Here is a 16,759-nt window from a genome sequence, read left to right as displayed (position 1 = left end):
ATCTACAGCTAGAAATACCATTTGACCCAGCAATCCCATTCCCGGGTATATACCCAAAGGATTATAAATCATTCTACTATAAAGACACATACACACATATGTTTATTGCAGTATTATTCACAATAGCAAAGACTTGGAACCTACCCAAATGCCCATCAATGATAGACTGGATAAAGAAAATGTGGCACACATACACCATGGAATACTACACAGCCATAAAAAAGGATGAATTCATGTCCTTTGCAGGAACATGGATGAAGCTGGAAACCATCATTCTCAGCATACTATCACAAGAACAGAAAACCAAACACCATATGTTCTCACTCATAAGTGGGAGTTGAACAAGGAGAGCACATGGACACAGTGAGGGGGAACATCACACACCAAGGCCTCTTGGGGGGTGGGGTGCTAGGGAGGAATAGCATTAGGAGAAATCCCTAATGTAGATGATGAGTTGATGGGTGCAGCAAACCACCTTGGCATGTGTATACATATGTAACAAAACTGCAGTTTCTGCACATGTATCCCAGAACTCAAATAATAATAATAAAGAAGTCCATTATTAAATGGAAAATTCTACATTTTTACTGAATCATAATTTCTATGTGCAAAGATGAAATTCCTTAAAACCTATGAAGATATGTGAAACATCTACAAAGTTTTTGTATAAGCTGTAAGATACGTAAAACCTTGGTAGAGTGATTCTTCTTTAAATCTAGAGTTCGATCTGATCCTCATCAGTGTCAAGAGTTGCTAAAAAAGTCCCATGAGATATGTATAATTTTTTTTCAACTTGGAAATTCAGAAGTAACTATTTCAGGAAATGAGTAACAAAACTTTTATTGAAATATAATTCTCTGAGTATGCAAAGTTAATTTCTTTCAGAAACTTTTAATAATCTCGAGAAGAAATAAGATTTCCTACAACGACCATTTGAAAAGAAGACTTCCCAAAACTTTAAAGAGTAACATTACAAGCATTGAGCTGTTTGGAAAGAATACTCCAAAATATTCTCCTCCAGTATTTTTTCTCATGTGTAATGCTGTCATAACAAAACAATGTAGAATAAATGTATCTACAGATTTTACTTTTTAAAGTAATGCATGAATGTGTAAAAATCTACATAGTACAAGAGAAAAAATGAAAATTAAATTCCTTCCTCTTCCATTCCACCACCCCATCTCCCTCCATTGCTGAAAAAATAGCTACTATTCACAAATTCTTTGATTCTTCAATAAAATTATATTAGTCTTCTTTTTACATTATTCTATACCTGGGACTTTTCACTTAATATTAATTATGTAGCTTACAGATACAAATCTTTCTTTTATAACTTGTATTTTGGACAGTTCTTGTTGACTCTTCTATGAAATATAAGGAAATTAACACATTTACACATTTCTGTCATTTCCCCTCCATCATTTTTTCAGATAATCTCACTCATTTTTATTACATTGTCAGTATTTAGGACACTTACATTTTGATTTATGCACAAAATTTTTAGATATTTTTACGTATAGTTTTATATCAAAATACTTTTCCTGTGCATTGTCAAATTTTAACAGTTTCTCCAAAATGGCAGTACAATATTATTATTTTTATCATCATTATTTTGATGTATCTCTAGTTGACTGTATTCCAGCCACAATGTTTTATTAAGTTTAATATGAAATTGATAATAAATTGGCTGGGAATAAAATTATTCAGTCATATCTTCTGTCTAAAACTTTCATAGAACTGGAAAATGTATTTTCTATTGTTGATCAGTGAATCATATGGAAAAAGCTTTGAAGTCCAATTTATTTGTTGTTGTTGTTTTACTAATAAGTAATTGGCTTTTTGTACTTGGGGACCATGCTGTTTTTCTTTGTTTTTTAAATATAAAAAAATAACAGATTATGTTATGTTGTTGATTATCTTCTACCAAGGTGTCTTGGAGCTTGGCCTATCTTTTCATTCTAAAGATGCCTGTATTGGAAAATGCTATGTTACACCAATATCATCTCAAATACCTTTACCATTTTTATACATATCGACTCCTAGTGTGCATCACACACAGCAATGAGCATTTGAGTCTCTCTGTTAGAGGGCTGTCCACAGGCCACCAGATTCATTTTCCCTGCTTTTGGAAAACTAGAAGTTCTTAGAATTTATATCCCCACCTTGCCTGGGAGTAGCTGTTAAACAAAGACTGATGCATGCAGAGTATAAATATTATAGTTCCCTTGCCTCTGACTGGGACAACTCTCACTCATGAGCTGTATTCTCTCCAGAGCTGTTTTATGGGATTTTGACCATATTTTCCTCTTCTGGTATTTTACTAGGTATCATACTATTGTTTGGCTTCCTTCCATTTCTGTTCCCATTTCACTCCCCTACTGTTTTTATCTCGGAAAATTTCCTAATCCTTTTCATACATTCCTTTTCTCAAAACATGCTTCTGGTGTATTCCTGTATTTCAAGAAAGTTTTATCCTTTTATATTAGAATGCTTTTTTTTTAGTTCATTAGTTATTTCGTGGTTTTAAAAATAAAAATTATGCTTATGGGTTTCCTTTTTTTCTTTCTTATCTATCATAGTTTCTTTGTGTTCTTTACTTTTTTTTAGCTTATTCTCTTTTGCTCTTTCTCAATCTTCCCCCTCCCCCTCCCTCCACTCCCACCAAATTTTCTGAGTCCACATACTCTTCAATTATTTCAAAGTGGGGAAAATGCTTTTTGAAATGTCCACCCTTTTCTAAAATAATTATTCATCTTCTATAGACTATTAATGTGCTTTTGGTTTATATGTTATTTTCTCCTTTGTAAACATTAGTTTTAAAAGGTGTTCACTTACCTAAAAGGTTTCAGGTTTAAGAGAGAAATATCCTTAGTTTGATTACAAAGTGTATTAGTCCATTTTCACTCTGCTATAACAAAATACTCGATACTGGGTAATTCATAAGCCAAATAGATTTAATGGACTCACAGTTCTGCATGCCTGGGGAGGTCTCAGGAAACTTACAATCACAGCAGAAGGTGAAGGGGAAGCAGGCACCGTCACAACGTAGCAGTATGGTAAGTCTTGATATGTAGTATCCCATTTAATTCTCACAATATATGCAAGTCTATTGTTTCCAATGAATAAATGAGGAAAGTAAATGTTAATGAGATTAAATATACTTATAATGAAATATGAATATAGGTAAATGATTTTTCTCTGTGCATTCATTTTTACAGTTAATTCTGTGAGTTAGAAGTCAGATATCATATTTGTGATCACAGATTACTGTTTGCTAAAAACAAGAATACCATATTACAAATAAATTATCAATTATAGGAGAGGTCTGGAACATTTCCCCAATTAAAAATTGTTTTAAAACCATCTCATGAAACAGTGTTTCAGAACAGTTTCCTTGGACCACATCAAAAAGGAAATATAAAAAGAAAAGAAAGCTTAGCATCATATGTTTTATTTTCACAATACCACTTAACATATTACAGTACACATAATCAATACTAAATGCTTTTTGAATGTAACATAACAGTGCCATATCTGATAGCATCTTATCAAGCCACCATGATTCAGAATCTAACTATAAGATAGATTTTTTTCAGCCAGGTGCGCTGGCTCACGCTTGTTCCCAGCACTTTGGGAGGCTGAGGCAGGCAGATCACCTGAGGTCAGGAGTTCAAGACCAGACTGACCAACATGGAGAAACTCCGTCTCTACTAAAAATACAAAATTAGCCGGGTGTGGTGGCACATGCCTGTAGTCCCAGCTACTTGGGAGGCTGAGGCAGGAGAATCACCTGAACCCGGGAGGCAGAAGTTGCAGTGAGCCGAGATTGCACTATTGCACTCCAGCCTGGACAACAAAAGCAAAACTCCATCTCAAAATAAATAAATAAATAAATAAATAAATAAATAAATAAATAAATATAAAAAATAAAAGATAGATTTTTTCTTTTTGTTTTATAATAAAAGAAAAAATGTTTTTATAGCATATCTGAACATATCTAAATATTGATTTGTAAAGTCAATAAACTTTTTTTTCTTTTATTATTATACTTTAAGTTTTAGGGTACATGTGCACATTGTGCAGGTTAGTTACATATGTATACATGTGCCACGCTGGTGCGCTGCACCCACTAACTCGTCATCTAGCATTAGGTATATCTCCCAATGCTATCCCTCCCCCCTCCCCCCACCCCCCACCCCACAACAGTCCCCAGAGTGTGATGTTCCCCTTCCTGTGTCCATGTGATCTCATTGTTCAATTCCCACCTATGAGTGAGAATATGCGGTGTTTGGTTTTTTGTTCTTGCGATAGTTTACTGAGAATGATGATTTCCAATTTCATCCATGTCCCTACAAAGGACATGAACTCATCATTTTTTATGGCTGCATAGTATTCCATGGTGTATATGTGCCACATTTTCTTAATCCAGTCTATCATTGTTGGACATTTGGGTTGGTTCCAAGTCTTTGCTATTGTGAATAGTGCCTCAATAAACATACGTGTGCATGTGTCTTTATAGCAGCATGATTTATGTGGCGATTCCTCAGGGATCTAGAACTAGAAATACCATTTGACCCAGCCATCCCATTACTGGGTATATACCCAAAGGACTATAAATAAACTTTTTTTTAAGAAATAAAAAGAGACAGCAAGAGAAGGGAGGGAGAGGGGAAAGGAAGGAGAAAAAGAGGAAGAATAAAAGATATAGAGAAAGAGAGAGAAGAGGGAGAGCCATATAATTCCCCTCTTTTTCCAGAAACATGGGAGGATTGTTCTTGCTTTCCATTTGGAAGTTGGTTGTGGCTATATGACCTACTTTGGCTAGCAGAATATAAATTAAAATGGCATGCATCACTTCTTAGCGTCTCCTGATATGCCTTGACATGCAGTGGCAATTTGGTTAGATTTTTAATTCCTGGCACATTGCCTTTTGCACTGCAAACAGTAAAAATATTGTTTTTTTTTTTTTTTTGTCAGTAAATTTATCCTAATCTCGTCTTAACTGTTTTATCCTTTGGAAGTGAGCTTATATTTCCAGCTGGATAGTTTTGGGAATTTTTTTTTCCAGTAAAATTCACTAATGCCACCATCATAAATATTGTCAGGAGAGGGATAAGAGTTTTGTAGAAACTTTGTACTTTCATGTTTTGTTTGATTTTTAAAAATTTTTATGAGTTCTAGGCTCCGGGTCTACTCCAGGTGGGAAGCTTAGCCTGTTCTGTGAGTGATAGGAAAATGCCACTAGAGTTTTGATTTGATCTTTTGGTTAGGAAGAGCTGCCACGTTGGTGAGATATCTAGTTATGGTCACAGGCTATTGTTCATAGGCTGCATTGATGTAGTTAAATGCATGATTTTCTTTACCCAGATACATCTTTTCTGTAGTTGAAAAGTAAAATTATCTGCACACCTCACCCCTTCCAGTCAGAAAACTGATTCCGGAGAATAACAGAAAAAAGTACAAGCAGAGTAACTTCTTTTCCAATGCGGCTTCCTAGAATAATTAGCTCTAAGACATGTTTTGATACCTTCATAGAGCCTACATACATCTTCTGCTTTTTTCCAGACAATCTTGCTATCATTGGAGGAATCTTAAGAATTTATTTTGTTTTCCAATCTGCCAGGACTCACTGTACTTCTTCCAAACTGGGAAGTGTGGCTCAATATGAAATTCCTCTTTTGGATTTTTCCACATTTAATATCTGGCAGTTATTCTTTGATGTGGGTGGAAACCATGAGCACATGTGACATTTTATTTTCACTTTTAATTCTATTTCACTTGTTTGATACTTTTAGTTTTTTTTTTATTTTTGCTCTTTATTTTCTTTATTGTAAAATAAATGTTAATTTTTCCACTCAAGAAAAAAATGACATTTTGGTGAAGATTCACACTCTACAGCAAAACTATCTTGAGTTCAAACCCTGGCTCATCAATTCGTGACATAGTTTTGAGAATTAAGTATGCTCATTAATATACTGAGTTTATAACTGGTACATGATAAATACTTGACAGTTATTGGCTTTTGTTAGCTACCATCTCTTCTGGAATTATCTAGTCATGTTCTTACTGTACCTTATTACATCTATACCTCTTAACAATGCTATACTTGATTATAAGCTACATTTTACACATGAGAAAACCAATGCTCATAGAATGTAACATATTTATCCAAATCCTACAGAGAGAAAGTGGCCAAACGAAGACTTAAAGCCATTTTCTCAAAGTCCAAAACTATGCTTTTATTACACTGCATTGGCTTTTGTAATTTCCAAATGTATTGCTGAATATTACTTGCTGTATTTATTACGTTATTTAAAATTTTGCCCCAATGACATATCTCATGCACATAGAAAGTTGGGTATGAAAAAACAGGCACAAATATTCTAGTAGCCCTACAAAACCACAAATGTGTTCATTTTAAGTCTCTCAAAGTGATGCTATAAATTTTGGTTCAAAATCTCAAGCTCTCATGTTGAATATATGTCCACTTCATATACTGCAACAATTATAAAGAACTGCCTTATTTTTTCCTTAGACTTTCTGAACTAGTAATTAATTTCACAGTGTACCCATAAAACAGTTCACGCTATTGTCATCTCCTTGTGTGTGTGTGCACACGTGCACATGTGTGTGTGTTAGAGAGAGAGAGAGAGAGAAACAGAACACTAATTCTAATTTATGGATTATATATAGGTATATATCTACTCTCTTTGAATAAGGCATTTTCTATAAACTCTTTGTAAAATTAAGATGCATGAAAGACTGAGAACACAAGGTGTTATAGACATGAGCCAAAGATGACCTTCTATAGTGGCCCAATATTTTTTTCTTCTTCACAGCAGGCAGGATCCATTAACTCATAATCCTGCCAGCACAAAGCTGAAATTTTAAAATCAATCTAATGTTTTAAAAATAGCCCCAATAAGCAGATTTTTAGCCATGTAGAGCCTGTCTGCTTTGAATATACCGTAAAACTGAACCCAACATCTGCTAGCCACAGATGAAATAAACCTCAGGCTTATAAAATCCCAAAACTGCTGCTGCTCTTTGGAGCACTCTGACCCAGAGACTCCTTGCCATGCTGCTGAGTGACATCACCTAGATACATAATATCCATCTCTGATTCCTCTACCTCCTGGAGTTCACATGCCCTCCTCCCCTTTTGAGTAGTGGCCCCCATCCCATAGCCTCTAAAGGTCTCACACTGTAAGAAACCTCCCTTTCTCCCATGCAAACCCGTCAAAGTGTAGTTTAAAGAAAACTTGTTGCAGGCTTCTGCCACCTTATGATGATGTCTCTTTTCTTGATCACCTCAAAAATTCCTCAATGTCACTATAAAAGTGGAATATAGTTTGTCTCATCAGGGCCAAAATAGGCATATAATATACAATAATAATGTAATATAGTAGACACAAATATAATGTTGAAGGCAAAACTGCTCCGTCTTTGACAAAATAAAGATAGTGTTCAAAATTAATCCATTATACTATATTTAAAATATTGCTTTCAAAGTATTGACTAAATTAACAACAGCTTCATCGAGCTTCCAGCAAATGGCAATGATGCCAGTTAAGTTTGTTTAGGAACTAGTCTTGATTCCAAACTTAGTGGCAAATAGTGTCTGATTTTTACTATATTAAAAATTGAATTTCCCTTTGTCACCCTAAATTGGATTTATTCTAAAATTTCTAATTTATTTTAAATAATCTATCATCTAGAACTTATTTCAGAGATGTCTGATGCCTCCTATCTTAATTCATTGTACATTCTTTCAATAAACATGTGTAGTCAGACATTGGACTGAACACCATTTCTGTCATAATCTCTCAGACTCCGGACTAAGAATACAACATATTTAGGAGTAGTTTCCTGACTATAAAATAAAAAGATAATTTCTAATAGACATTTTTATGAATATTAAAACAAGCTAACGCATGTTATAAAAACATACACTTTTGGCATAGAGTAAACATTCAACAAGTGGTAACTGCCATTATTGTTGTGACTATTTATATTTATTTTACTTTTGATTCATTATTTTATACCTTATATTGTGCTTGAGTTATTAGCTATATAAATGACATAGAGAGAGCTGTCTAAAGATTGCAGTTTCAGTGATATAAAAGGGCCCACCTTTAATAATAGAAAATCAAAATAATAGTAAACCTCAGAATATATTACTTTTTTTACTTTCCAGGAATAACATTACAACAACCAAATTCAAGTGGTAGAATTATGGAAAGGTGAACATGACAGAACAAGAGGGACAGGCTCAAAGTGTCAGAACACCTAACAAGATAAAAAGGCTGCTGAAAATGAATGCCAAAAATAATTAAACTACATAAAATAATGTTCATATTACATTGTCAAATAAGATTTAAAAAGTAGAACAATACATACAGTATAAAAATTTTGTATGAAAAGAAAAATTATATACATAATATTAGTCATTTTTTCATTTGATTCTAGAGGTCAAAAGGCTGGATTGAGCTTCCTTAATTAAGAGAAGGGAATTGGGCCGGGCACGGTGTCTCACACCTGTAATCCCAGCACTTTGGGAGGCCAAGATGCGCGGATCACGAGGTCAGGAGATGTAGACAATTCTGGCTAACACGGTGAAACCCTGTCTCTAATAAAAATACAAAATGTTAGCTGGGCGTGGTGGCCCCCGTAGTCCCAGCCACTCGGGAGGCTGAGGCAGGAAAATGGCGTGAACCCGGGAGGCGGAGCTTGCAGTGAGCCGAGATCGCGGCACTGCACTCCAGCCTGGGTGACAGAGCGAGACTCCGTCTCAAAAAAAAAAAAAAAAAAAAAAAAAAAAAAAAAAGAGAGAGAGAGAGAAGGGAATTGGCTGAAAATATTTAGTTTTCTCATGTGGACCCAACCTGTGGCAAGATGTGAATAAGTAAATGCATTTAGGGATTATGGATATGTGGAACCAGATAATAAGTATTATCTCTCTCACTCTCTTTTTCTCTTTCTTCTCAGGCAGCTGCTTCCATCTCCATGTCAACTTCATTCTTTCTTACTGCAGATCATCTGTCAATTCATAGTTCATATCAGGACCACCATCAACTCTTACATGCCATATGCAACACAGAGGAGACATTCCTATTTTTCTACATCCTTTCTAAAAAGCACTGGTAAAGAATCCTGATAGTCACAATTAGATGTTTACCCACAGATTATTAGTTCTGTATATGAAGATGCAGTTGGCCAATATAGATATGATCACTGAGACTCCATTCGTTTGTTTGTTTGTTTGTTTATTTATTTATTTATTTATTTATTTATACTTTAAGTTCTAGGGTACATGTGCACAATGTGCAGGTTTGGAGACCCCATTCTTTAGTTTCAGGATGATTTCACAAAAGCATGGATCATGACTTTGACAACTACTTATTGCCTCCTTAGGGCAACTATGGCTAAAATACAAAAAGTATTTACACATACATTATAAATATGCATATGTATGCAAACTAAAATCAATGAAGGGATGATAGGTAACAAAGATGGGGACATTTACTTTAACTTAATATTCTTAACTTTAGGATATTGAGGATATTGTTTGAAGTGGCCACATAGCTACTGATAAAATTATTTTTGGCTGAATAAAAGTTAATACATACTTAAACTTTTTATGTTGCATTAAGTGACATAAATTCTGCAACATAATGGGAGAAAATTTATTTTAATACGATTAGGTCACATTTGAAATGTGTCACTTTAAGTTAGTATAGTCAAACTCTGGAAAATCTATCAAACAAATATCAGCAAGGTGAAGAGAAATCATGATGGGAAAATGAGTTTCCCATGAGGGATGCCAAAACAATAGCCATTTACCCTTTTAGCACTGCTAAATAAATATTTGCCAAACTCACAGATGAGCTGAATAGCTTTAACAATAGCAGCTGTACTTTCATCTGTTTGTTCACATTTGATATAACATTCTATCAAAATTGCTTTCAAAGTTTAAAAATTACAGCATTAAATGACTCTGAGATCTTTTCAACCCTAAGATTTACTTATTGCCTCTTTAGGGCAACTATAGCTACAACCTATATGTCTCAGTTCTAAGTAAAATTGACATGAATAATTATTTAATTTTACTGTTACTTTTTCATTTTTATATATTGTGTTTGATTCAGTGTTTTTAAATTGTTACATTTACTTTAAAATACATTATTAGTTTTAAAAGTTATATTATAAAAAATATATTTGTGTTGTGCCCAAATAAATATTTTATTATGTAACTTACTTCTTTTTATTATACTGGTCTCTTGAATTGAGGAACAAATTGCCAATGCCTGATAAATAAGACTTGCAACAAATGAAATAATATAATGTAAAAGCATTGCTGTTATCAATTTGCATTTTGGAAAAACATAAAATGCAAATAGAACATAAGATATGAAATATAGCAATTTTTCCAAATCAAAGTGCATCTATAAATGAGAGATCATAGAGCCAGTCTCAAACATTGTAGCACATTATGTATATTAAGCACAAATATAAAAGAATATTTTCTTTACATCTGAATATTACATAGTCTTTTACCGAATCCTACTTTGTAATTCATACTAAGATAGTATTGTTTTGTCTTAAAGAAAACTAGAAAGAAAAATAAGAATATTATTGATTGGTAAAGACCTTTCTTGTTTTCACAGTGTTTTAGAGCCTTCTGGACTGTGGGTTGTTGGCCAATTTTAGAGAAGCGATCTAAAAACATAGAGGAAAAATATAGTAGAAGAGATAGCAATTAAAAATAAGCTTATCTCTCCAGCCTGTAGGGGTTCCTGGAAACACCATCTATGCATACTGAGGAGAGACTGTACATACAGTGGAGAGTAGAGTACTATTCGGTGTTAGAAGAAGGAGGTACTGGTATTTGCAAGAACATGGGTAAACCTGGAGAACATTATGCTAAGAGAAATAAGCCAGATACCGAAAAAAAAAAGTATTGCGTACTATCACTTATATGTGAAATCTTAAAAAAAAGTCCAATACATAGAAATAGAAAGCAGAATGGTCAGTACTAGGCAAAGAGAGGGGAAGGAAATGGGGAGATAATAAGTCAAAGAGTACAAACTTGCAGTTATATGGGATGAATAAACATAAAGCTTTAGTGTACCACAGGAGGATGACAGTTAACAATATTGTATACATTGAATTTTGCTAACAAATATTTTAGGTGCTCTTACCACACATACACACAAAAGTGGTTAACAATGGAAGGTGATGAGTATGTCAATTTACTTACTTGTAGTAATCCTTTGACTATGTAATCAAATTAATATAGCTGGTTATGAATAAATAATTTGCCTTATCAATTAGAAATTTTAGCTACATGAATCAGTTACTTACTATGTGACTTCTTTCAAATTAGGATAATACAAATGTTGATCCTGCCTTTAGTGTGATGCAAGCAAGAATTGTAGTAGTTAGGAAGGAGAACTCAAACAGAATTGAGTTTGCATCCAAGTAAAGAATTTGCTACAAAGAGTTAAACAGTTTAGTTCACCCACTCTTGGGCTCAGTTTCCTGAGGAACTGATGATATTGAGAATACCCAGGTCATGCGATTATTTTGAGAACTAAATGAAATAATGGTTCTAAAGCATCTGGCACAATGTCAAGGTCGTAATGTGCATACACACACACACACACACACACACACACACACACCACACTTTAGATTTTTTTTAAGTTACAAATTCAGAGAGTTGTAAAGATTAAATTAAATAAACTAATCTATGCCAATCTCAAGCAGAGAGGAAGGATGCAGCACTTGGTAATATGATATCCCTGAGAAATAATTCAATTTAAATAATATATAAAACAAGAATGAGGAAGAAGACAGGAAAAGAAGGAAGAAAAATAAAGAAAGAGATGGAAAAGAAGAAGGGGAGCAAAAAGGAAAGGAAGAAAGGGGAAAGGGAGGTTTATCATCACCTCTCAAATATATGAGAAAATTAACACTGAAACCCTACTTAGTTTTATTCTGTTGACTTTTAATTTCTTTCCCCTTTATCACTTTTGGCACGTTTCCTGCTCAATGTATTTTAATTAAGAGTATTCCTCTACCATTGTGAACTTTAAAGAACCAACACTTTGATAAAACATCAAACTAGAATGGGAAGTTGGAAAAATCATAATCCAAAAGTGGAATTAAAACTTGGAGTTATATTTTGGAAACCCAGTCATCAAAACAGGACAAGAGACACTCGGGTCATGAAGCTACAGTTCTGATGTTTAATATGCAAAGCCAAATGCCCAAAAAGTGGTGACGTAATACTGGCCTAAAGTTAGATGAGACATTTTTTCAACTGGGCCTTTTCTCTCATTAACTTAATAATCCTGAGGTAGACGTGTCAACTCTCTGAACTCTGGTTTCTTCATATGTAAAATAAGAGATATGCTCTTATTTTTATAACCCACATATATTTTATATATGGATTTTAATTTTATAGTCCATAAATATATTTACACACATGCATATACTTTCCCATGTATACATATAGATATATATTCTCATGCCTAGGTGCTTCAAAATAGAATTGGTGGTCCATATTCTCAGGTTCCTCATCTACGGATTCAACAAATCACAAACTGAAAATATTCAATAAATAAATAATAATACAAATAGATATAGTATAATATTATTTACATACTATTTACACCGTATTAGGTATTGTAGGTAAGTAGCGATTATTTAAAGCATATGGGAGGAGATTAATATGTTAAATACAAATACTTGCCATTTCATATAAGAGACTTGAGAATGGATTTTGGTATTTAGGAAGGGGTCCTGGAACCAATTCCTTGTGGATACTGAGGGATGATTTTATTCATAGCCTGGCATTTTATTACACAGGCACATTAAATAACCAAAGGTTATCACAAAAAGTAGAATAAAATATGATCCTTGCCTTCAACAAGATGTCAGTTATCAGCTTATTTCTCAAAGTCAACTTACTTGCAGATCTAATATTTCTTTTAGTGAGCAAATATCCCTCAGAATCAGCTTCCTCAACCTGAACTTTCACTCTTGCCCACTTTATTAGAACTTACTCCAAACTAATAATTTCAAAACTCCCATACACTGCTGTTCATTTTCAAATAACACCATTCCCCTAATTTATTTTCTCACTGTGAGTTTTGAAACCAGAAATATCTAGGTTCGGATTCCAGGTTTGCCAGTTGCATGCTAGGAAACGTAGGCAAGATGCTTAATTATTCTGAACATCCATTGCTTCATAAATTGGAGGTGCTGTATGTAAGATTCAGCACAGTGTGTGGTACATGGTAGACATAATGGTTACTCCATCAGTTATAGATATGGCATAAGAAATTTGCCTGGTCTTCCACACATTGTAAGATGAACTCTTTGACTTCACAACTGACTCAGTTATTTGTAATCTACTCTCACCAGGTGCTGAGGGAAATCCCTGCCAGGTTATCATTGTTCCAAACTAAAAGATATGAGAAGAATATGCAGTCTGATTTTGTCTAATCATGTGTTCTTCTAACATTTTCTATATTAAATCTTGATCTCAACTTTTAAAACTAAAATTCACAAATTGCCATGAATATACTCACCAGTTTTGCCACTTAAGAAATTCCTATTAGGAATACATGTTTGAAGAAGGACAGAGTTTTAAAAGGAAGTTTCGAAGGCTAGAATGATATCAAAGATAGCTTAACAATACCATCTTCCTTCTCCAAAAGGTCATTGCTCTCTTGTTGAACCGTCCTTTAACCCAGACTTCTACCAGTCTCCTCCCACATTAACGTAAGTCCTATTTTTGAGTAGTCTTTACATAGATATGTTCAGCACCTTCTTACCCTCCCTAAAGAAAAGCAAATTACACAGTTTGTGAGAGACATATACTAGCATTTGGTAATTTATTGAAGTAACAATTTTATGTGTGAAATTGTTCATTTATATAAGAAACCATATGGTTCAGCAAATAAAAGTTAAAAAATTATTTTCAGTATCAAATGAATTTGACCACATAAGATAAAAATGAAACCAGCAGAGGGTTTATTAATTAGTGGTGCTTAGGATGAAACATGTCTCCCTTAGCCTGAAGTGAGATCAGAACATTTTTCTCTGAGGCATGATCAAGTAACATTTTGAATAAGGATAAAAGTCTTATTTTTCAATCAGTCCCATTTTATAATTCTAGTAAAAGACTATCAAGTTTTACTCATGATATATTTAAACCTATTTAATATTCCCAATACTCTTCTATGGTAAAGCTATAGTTTTACTAGAAATTGAAGTTGGGCTCAGAGGAGTATAATTTCTAGGGGCATATTTCATGATATTTCATAAGTTATTTTATTCTTTTAGCCTCACTTTATGGGGCTTTTTAATATATTCACTGTATTATACTACAAGGCTCACAGTAGACCCTAAGTCTTCTCACAAAGACCTTGTGTTTATATTTACTATGCTGTAACTCAAGGCGCCTAAAACATTTTAAGGATCCTGGTAGTTCAAACAACACTGTGAAAATTCCAAAGTTATTTGAGAAGGCAATTGATGTTATTATACTGACGAACAGCATTTGGAAATAGACATTGTACATTTATTTTAAAATGACTTTTGACCAGCCCCACAATGCGTCCTCCACATTTCCAAATCTACAAAGCTCTAAAAATGGAAGAAATTATTTTATTTTCTTTTAAAATTTTTAAGTTTGATGCCAAAACTCATTTAGCAGTTAAATCTGAGAAAAAATGGAATTTAGGCTATTTACAGTCTTTATTTATCCCACTTCATGTGAATATTCATAGGTTTTGCTGTTTATTAATGGGGTTAGGGAATGTTGTCCTAGACTTTTCTAAGAATTACATAGTAAATGGTATATGTGTCATAATAAGTAAAAAGAAATTTAAACTTATTATGTAAAATGCAGTTTAATATACATAAAACTATGTATATTGCTAGGACTGCCATAAAAAATACCGCAGATTGAGTATATTAAACAATAGTAATTTATTTACTCATAGTTCTGCAGAGTAGAAGTCCAAGATCAAGACGTTGGCAGGATTGGTTCCTTCTGAAGACTCTCTCCTTGGCTTGTCAATGGTCGTTTTCTCCCTGTTTCCTAACATGGTTTTTCCTCTGCTCATGTTGGTTCCTGGTGTCTGTGGTGCCTGCCTAATCTAATATCCTTTTTTTTTTGGGTAAAGATAATAGTCATATTGGATTAAGGCCTACCTTAATGGCTTCATTTGAACTCAACTACCTCTTTAAAGCTTTTATTTACAAACACAGTCACAATTGGGGGTACTGGGATACCCATACTAAATATAAGTATGGGTACACATACTGAGGTAATTCAGCTTATAATTTTAAGGCTGGATGCAGTGGCTTCTGTCTGCAATCCCCACACTTAGGGAGACCAAGATGAGAGGATTGTATGAGTCCAGCAGCTTGAGACCAGCCTAAGCAACAGTGAGACACTGTCTCTACAAAAAATTTAAAAATAAAATTAGCTGGACATGGTGGCACACACCTGTGGTCCCAGCTATTTGAGAGGCTGAGGTGGGAGGATCCCTTGAGCCCAGGAGGTCAAGGCTGCAGTGTGCCATGTTCCCACCACTGCCCTCCAGCCTGGGCAATAGCAGACTCTGTCTCTCTCTCTCTGTGTCAGATACATATATACATATAATATATATATATATATAAAATATATTATATATATAATACATGTTTTATATAGATATATAATACATGTTTTAAATTTCAACATATAAATATTGGGGAAACAAATTAGGCCCCTAACATGCGTAATTTGATTAAATTTACACATACACAATTACCAGCACTTCAGAAGTCCCTCATGTTCCCCTTCAGGCACTGCCATTGAATCATTGCATTACTAAGGGTAATCTATGCTGATTTCCATTAGCATAGGTTGGATATTTTTCTGATTCCATTTTATACTACCGGAATAATATATTGCATGCTCTTTGTGTTGGATTTCTCTCAGCAAGGTTCACTCATAATGACTTGTATAGTTGTAGGTAATTCATTCAAATTGTTGTATAATATCCATTGTGTCTGTAAGTTGATTTTTTTTTATCTATTTCACTACTAATTGTAATTTAGGTAGTTTCCAGTTTTAAGCTATTACAACTGTGCTGTTAACTTTCTTTTACATGTCTGTTAATGGGCATTGGCAAGAAATGGGACTGTTGGTCATAAGATGTGCATATGTTCAGCTTTAGTTGATCTGCTGTACTGTGTTTCAAAGTAGCTAGACCATTTGAAACTAGAATCTGAACAATATTAGAGTTCTGATTGTTCTCCTTTGGAAAGGATCAGAGTTTTGATTGTTCTTAATTTCACTAAAAGGCGGTATTTTCATCTTTTTCATTTTAGTCATTCCTATAAGTAGTATCACATAGTGGTTTTAATTTGTTTCTCCCCAATGGCTACAATTAAACACTTTTTATATATTTATTGGCAATTCAGATATCATGTTTTTGAAGTATTTATTCAATATTTGTTCATTTATCTATTGGATTATCTGTCTTCTTGATTGCTGGTTCTTCATATATTTATACATTCTAGATACGTGAAGTTTGTTGTCAGATATGTTACAAATATGTTTTATCATTCTGTGGAGTCCCCTTGCACCCTGTTAGCTTTTGTTTTATGAAGAATTCCTTATTTTTAATGTCTATTTTAAATGTTTGCTGCAATTTGCATCACATCTTAAAATATACCACTGAAAGATATCTCA

At 33.7% G+C, this 16,759-nt stretch overlaps 1 long non-coding RNA gene across 2 annotated transcripts in view; it reads left to right on the top strand.

Annotated features, from left to right (window-relative positions):
- LOC107984536 (uncharacterized) overlaps positions 1–10,114 on the top strand; it is a 297,729-nt gene extending 287,615 nt beyond the window's left edge. For both annotated transcript variants that reach the window (XR_001749235.2, XR_001749234.2), the window contains one exon: positions 8,989–10,114. This is a non-coding gene — a long non-coding RNA (uncharacterized LOC107984536). The remainder of the gene's footprint in view (positions 1–8,988) is intronic.
- Positions 10,115–16,759: the final 6,645 nt, after the last annotated feature.

The sequence above is a fragment of the Homo sapiens genome, chromosome 12 (assembly GCF_000001405.40).
Source record: "Homo sapiens chromosome 12, GRCh38.p14 Primary Assembly".
Classification (NCBI taxonomy): Eukaryota; Metazoa; Chordata; class Mammalia; order Primates; family Hominidae; genus Homo; species Homo sapiens.
The sequence above is the reverse complement of the archived record's forward strand: the minus strand, read 5'-3'. Positions and strand labels throughout refer to the sequence as shown.